Source organism: Homo sapiens, chromosome 8 (assembly GCF_000001405.40).
Source record: "Homo sapiens chromosome 8, GRCh38.p14 Primary Assembly".
Classification (NCBI taxonomy): Eukaryota; Metazoa; Chordata; class Mammalia; order Primates; family Hominidae; genus Homo; species Homo sapiens.
The window spans coordinates 100,848,435-100,854,122 of record NC_000008.11 but is presented as its reverse complement, the minus strand read 5'-3'; the positions used below and the strand labels follow the sequence as shown (position 1 = coordinate 100,854,122).

The following is a 5,688-nucleotide window of genomic DNA, read 5'->3' as shown; positions in this document are numbered from 1 at the left end:
AGAGTTTCTGCTGAGAGATCAGCTGTTAGTCTGATGGGCTTCCCTTTGTGGGTAACCCACCCTTTCTCTCTGGCTGCCCTTAACATTTTTTCCTTCATTTCAACTTTGGTGAATCTGATAATTATGTGTCTTGGAGTTGCTCTTCTCGAGAAGTATCTTTGTGGCGTTCTCTGTATTTCCTGAATCTGAATGTTGGCCTGCCTTGCTAGATTGAGGAAGTTCTCCTGGATAATATCCTGCAGAGTGTTTTCCAACTTGGTTCCATTCTCCCCGTCACTTTCAGATACACCAATGAGATGTAGATTTGGTCTTTTCACATAGTCCCATATTTCTTGGAGGCTTTGTTCGTTTCTTTTTATTCTTTTTTCTCTAAACTTCTCTTCTTGCTTCATTTCATTCATTTCATCTTCCATCACTGATACCCTTTCTTCCAGTTGATCACATTGGCTACTGAGCCTTCTGCATTTGTCACGTAGTTCTCGTGCCTTGGTTTTCAGCTCTATCAGGTCCTTTAAGGACTTCTCTGCATTAGTTATTCTAGTTATCCATTCGTCTAATTTTTTTTCAAAGTTTTTAACTTCTTTGCCATTGGTCGAACTTCCTCCTTTAGCTCGGAGTAGTTTGATCGTCTGAAGCCTTCTTCTCTCAACTCATCAAAGTCATTCTCCGTCCAGCTTTGTTCCATTGTTGGTGAGGAGCTGCGTTCCTTTGGAGGAGGAGAGGCGCTCTGATTTTTAGAGTTTCCAGTTTTTCTGCTCTGTTTTTTCCCCATCTTTGTGGTTTTACCTACCTTTGGTCTTTGATGATGGTGACGTACAGATGGGTTTTTGGTGTGGATCTCCTTCCTGTTTGTTAGTTTTCCTTCTAACAGACAGGACCCTCAGCTTCAGGTCTGTTGGAGTTTGCTAGAGGTCCACTCCAGACCCTGTTTGCCTGGGTATCAGCCGTGGTGGCTGCAGAACAGCAGATATTGGTGAACCGCAAATGCTGCTGCCTGATCGTTGCTCTGGAAGTTTTGTGTCCGAGGAGTACCTGGCTGTGTGAGGTGTCAGTCCACCCCTACTGGGGTGTGCCTCCAAGTTAAGCTACTCGGGGGTCAGGGACCCACTTGAGGAGGCAGTCTGCCCCTTCTCAGATCTCAAGCTGCGTGCTGGGAGAACCACTACTCTCTTCAAAGCTGTCAGACAGGGACATTTAAGTCTGCAGAGGTTACTGCTGTCTCTTTGTTTGTCTGTGCCCTACCCCCAGAGGTGGAGCCTACAGAGGCAGGCAGGCCTCCTTGAACTGTGGTGGGCTCCACCCAGTTCGAGCTTCCCAGCCACTTTGTTTACCTAATCAAGTCTCGGCAATGGTGGGCGCCCCTCCCCCAGCCTTGCTGCTGCCTTGCAGTTTGATCTCAGACTGCTGTGCTAGCAATCAGCGAGACTCTGTGGGCGTAGGATCCTCTGAGCCATGTGCGGGATATAATCTCCTGGTGTGCCGTTTTTTAAGCCTGTTGGGAAAGTGCAATATTAGGGTGGGAGTGACCCAATTTTCCAGGTGCTGTCTGTCACCCCTTTCTTTGACTAGGAAAGGGAATTCCCTGACCCCTTGCGCTTCCTGGGTGAGGTGATGCCTTGCCCTGCTTTGGCTCGTGCATGGTGCGCTGCACCCACTGTCCTGCACCCACTGTCTGGCACACCCCAGTGAGATGAACCCGGTACCTCAGTTGGAAATCCAGAAATCACCCGTCTTCTGCATCGCTCACGCTGGGAGCTGTAGACCGGAGCTGTTCCTGTTTGGCCATCTTGGCTCCTCCCCCTGGAATTTTTTTTTTTTTTAATTTTTTACTCTCCCAGTGGAAGCGGGTTGATGAATCTATATTGCACTCATGAATCTATGTTCTAGTAAATAGAGGGTCAACGTAAAGTGCACTGCTTGAAGATCTGCATTCTGCATTGCCTGGCCCCCCTGCTTTAACTTCACAGGTGCAGTTCCTGCCAGCAGAGCAGATAAGGAAGGCTCCTGGAAGCAGGGGTGGCACTGCCTCTGGCCTCCTCATGTCTCTCTGCAGGCTCTGTGCTCCTGAGAGCTGAGTCCCCCAGGCTAGGAATAGCCCTAGAGAAGCTTTTGTGTCCTGTGCCTCTCTGTACTTCTCAGTATGAGCTAATAAAATCTGCTTTGCCCCAGTACTCTTCCCTTGGTTTATGGGAGAACACACAGAAAGCTTCCCCACGTAGCCACATCGTGGAGGTCTTCCACAGTGAGCATTAATCCTGCCTCAGTCATGGGAGTCACAGAGATGGCAGGCCACCTCTCCAGTTCTTTTACCATGGAGTGGGTCAGCCATTAGAAGGGACCTGGACAGCCCACTCACCTCCCAGCATTTTGTACACACTGGCCCTCCTGCTCAGAAGCCCCTCATCCATGTCTGCTGCAGCTCTGGCTGTTCCCAAGAATGGATGTCAGTGTGGGGGCCCAGCCTCCTCAGCACCTTTCAGGAGCCAGGGACCCATGCCATTCGGGGCACACGGCACAGGGCTTTGCAGGTTCCTGGGTCTGGCCACTGGGGCTGCTGTGGGCAGTGCAGGATTTAGCAGAGAAGACTTCAGGCTGTGGCAGAGCGGCAGCTTCCCTGCACAGATCCCCAGGACTGAATACTGGCTGGCTCCAAGGGTGAAGGGAGTGTTGGAACTGCACAACCAGACCCTTGCCTGCTCCCCAGCCTGCCACCCTTGCAGGGCTCATTGCACAGGCCCCACCCTCAGAGCTTCTGATTCCAAGGATCTGGAGTGGAGCCTGAGAATGTGTATTTCTTTTTTTTTCTTTTTTCTTAAAGACAAGTTCTCACTGTCTTGCCAAGACTGGAATGCTGTGGCGTGATCATAGCTCACTGTAACCACAAATTCCTAGACTCAAGCAATCCTTCCACATCAGCATCCCAAGTAGTTGGGACTACAAGGTGTGCACCACCATGCCTGCTTTTTTTTTTTTTTTTTGTCTGTTTGTTTTTTTAGTAGAAATGAGGTCTTGGTATATTCCCCAGGCTGATCTCAAATTCCTGCACTGAAGCAATCCTCCGGCCTCAGCTTCCCAAAGTATCAGCACCTGAGGAAAATGCGCATTTCTTACAAGCTCTCCCAGGTGATGTGGCTACTGCTGCAAAAGGAGCTGCATTTTGACAGCCACTGCTTTCTGTAACACTGCCTTCTCCTCTCTGAGGCCTCTGAGGCATGACACTGTTCCAATACTGACTGCTAAATTTTTGCTGCCAGCCAGGCCATGGAGGCTATTCATTCTGCCTCTCCTAGCGCTGAGTTGGTCAGCATCAGCAAAAGCTGCCTGGAGGCCAGAAGACAGACACCCTCTGGCCCCAGCTCTCTCACTGCTGTCCTGATTCCCCACACAAAGTGTTTGCTGTGGTGCAAACTTGCTGACAGGCACCACCCTGTGTTGGGGATGAACCAAATCATTACAACCCTTAGACCCATGGATTCCTGGCTCTGAAAACAGATGCAAAAGCTCCCCTGCTCCCCTGGCCAACCCACCCCACGGACATCCTCTTGCAGGCCTGCTGTGGAAGGCCCCAAAATGGGACATGACCCGGCAGGAGGTCTGAGAATGGCTTTCCCTGCCAACTGATATCAAGACCCCTAGGGCCTGGCAGTCAAGGCATGAATAAATATATTCCACAGGAGTCCTTTCAGCCATAAAGAGCCTGTCTCCCAGCCTTGTATGCAAAACCAGAGTCGGGCCCAGTGGCTCACTTGTAATCCCAGGACTTTGGGAAGCCGAGGTGGGAGGATCACTTGAGTCCAGGAGTTTGAGACCAGCCTGGGCAACATAGCAAGACCCCTGTTTCTACAAAAAATAAAATTAGCTGGACGTAGTGGTGTACCTATAGTCCCAGCTTCTCAGCAGGCTGAGGTGGGAGGATCACTTAAGCCCAGGAGGTAGAGGCTGAAGTAAACCATGATCGCATCACTGCACTCCAGCCCAGGTGAGAGTGAGACCTTGTCTCAAAAAACAAACCAAAAGCCTGAGACAAGTGCCCTGACTGGCAAAGAGGAGACGCTTTGGCTGGGGATTCTAGAACACCAGCATTCCAGAAAATGCATAAAGGTGCCCTTTCTCAAAGCTTCCATGGACTCGTTGGCTTCCAGGTAGTCACTTTTTCTATTGTTCTATCTCCCTCCTTGGCCGCCTCTTCCCATCCTATGCACTTCAGGTGCAGAGTAATGCATTTGCATGTTCAGAGCTGCTAATGACCTCGTCGGTGTTTAAACATGGACTGTCTAGTCCACATGTCTTAACCTGGGACCTGAATCTAGATGGGGACTGAAGGGTGGGCAGGTCAGCAGGTGCTGAGGCATTCATCTGTAAAGTGCTCACAAACAGCATTAAAGTAAATTGGAAGGATGGTGTCAGCTAACTAAGGCTCCCACACAACCCTTCCAGAGTGGAAAAATCTAAATTGCTTTCACTCTCAGCCTTGAGTGAGAAAAAGAGAATACCCCTCATTGGGGCTCTTTCTGCTGAGCACTTTGCACGGGCAGCTACTTGATATTCACAGTCAATAGAATAATTCATGGGGTTGTACTGACTACCAGAAAAGAGTCAGTTATTTACCTAACTTTTAAATGGGTTCAAGAATTTCAGAAAACTGCTTGTATGTGATCGATTCTAATCTCAGACACAAAGGAGTGCGTGATTTTTATTAGTATACAATTAGTTTCTCACTGACAGTACTCTACAAATATTAAATTTAAAAAAATCAATTTGAAAGGGGTGCCAAATTGTGGTCTGCCACAGATCTCAATCTGACACTGTGTAAAGTTTCTGAAAATGAATGAGGATGTTGTGTGCATGTACAATTTTCTGGGTGAATATTCATAGATTTTGTTGCATGTTCCAAAGAGCCCTAAAACAACCCCACCAACCATAAAAGGGCAGGAAGCTTAGAGGCTTAGATGAAGCCCACAGGCCCCTCCCAAGCTCTCCTTCCTCTGCTCCTTCCCTCTGCACAAGCATCTTCCCTCTTCTTGGCTCCCCACGTAGCCTGATGCCTCGCTATACTGAGACCCATTTACTTCACTAACCACCAACCAACCTTGGGATTAAAATGGGCTCGATGATCCAAGTAAAATAATAAACATAAAAATGCCTTCTAAAATTCTACAAAAGTAAAGAATTAAAGAAAAGTCAGGGGGTGCTAGTGTTGTGAAAGTTAATTTGATGACTGATTCCTGAGCGCCTGCCTGAACTATCCACAGGCTGTTCATGTCATGTCCTAAGTGATTTAGGGCAATGTCAGCAGTGGCCGGACTGGAAGCTTCCTGTCTCACTTACTGCCCATATCAGTCTATGAAGTGAGTACTGTTACCCCCAACTTACAGATGAAGAAACTGAGGCCTAAAGAGGTTAGGTAACTTGTCAATTACACACAAGGGTTTGAACTGGAGGCATTCTTGTTAGGACCCTAATTCTGAACCACTATTGAGACACCACTATGTGCTGGAAGCTGTGTGAAGCCTGCTATGAGTATTTAACTTATTTAATCCCCATGACAAACCCATGAAATAAATACTATTATTGTTCCCATTTTACAGAAGGCAAAACTGAGATGGAGAAAGATTAAATCACTTGCCCAAAGTCACATAACTGATAAATGTTGGATAAATGTTGGAGCTGGGGTTTTACCCAGACAGT

At 48.1% G+C, this 5,688-nt stretch overlaps 1 annotated feature.

Moving 5' to 3' along the window:
• Positions 2,694-3,361: an enhancer, noted in NCBI's record as "OCT4-H3K27ac-H3K4me1 hESC enhancer chr8:101862990-101863657 (GRCh37/hg19 assembly coordinates)". NCBI's record gives its function as "activates a minimal SCP1, AML or CMV promoter by ChIP-STARR-seq in primed H9 embryonic stem cells {active_cell/tissue: H9 hESC(primed)}" and the evidence as "EXISTENCE:reporter gene assay evidence [ECO:0000049][PMID:30033119]".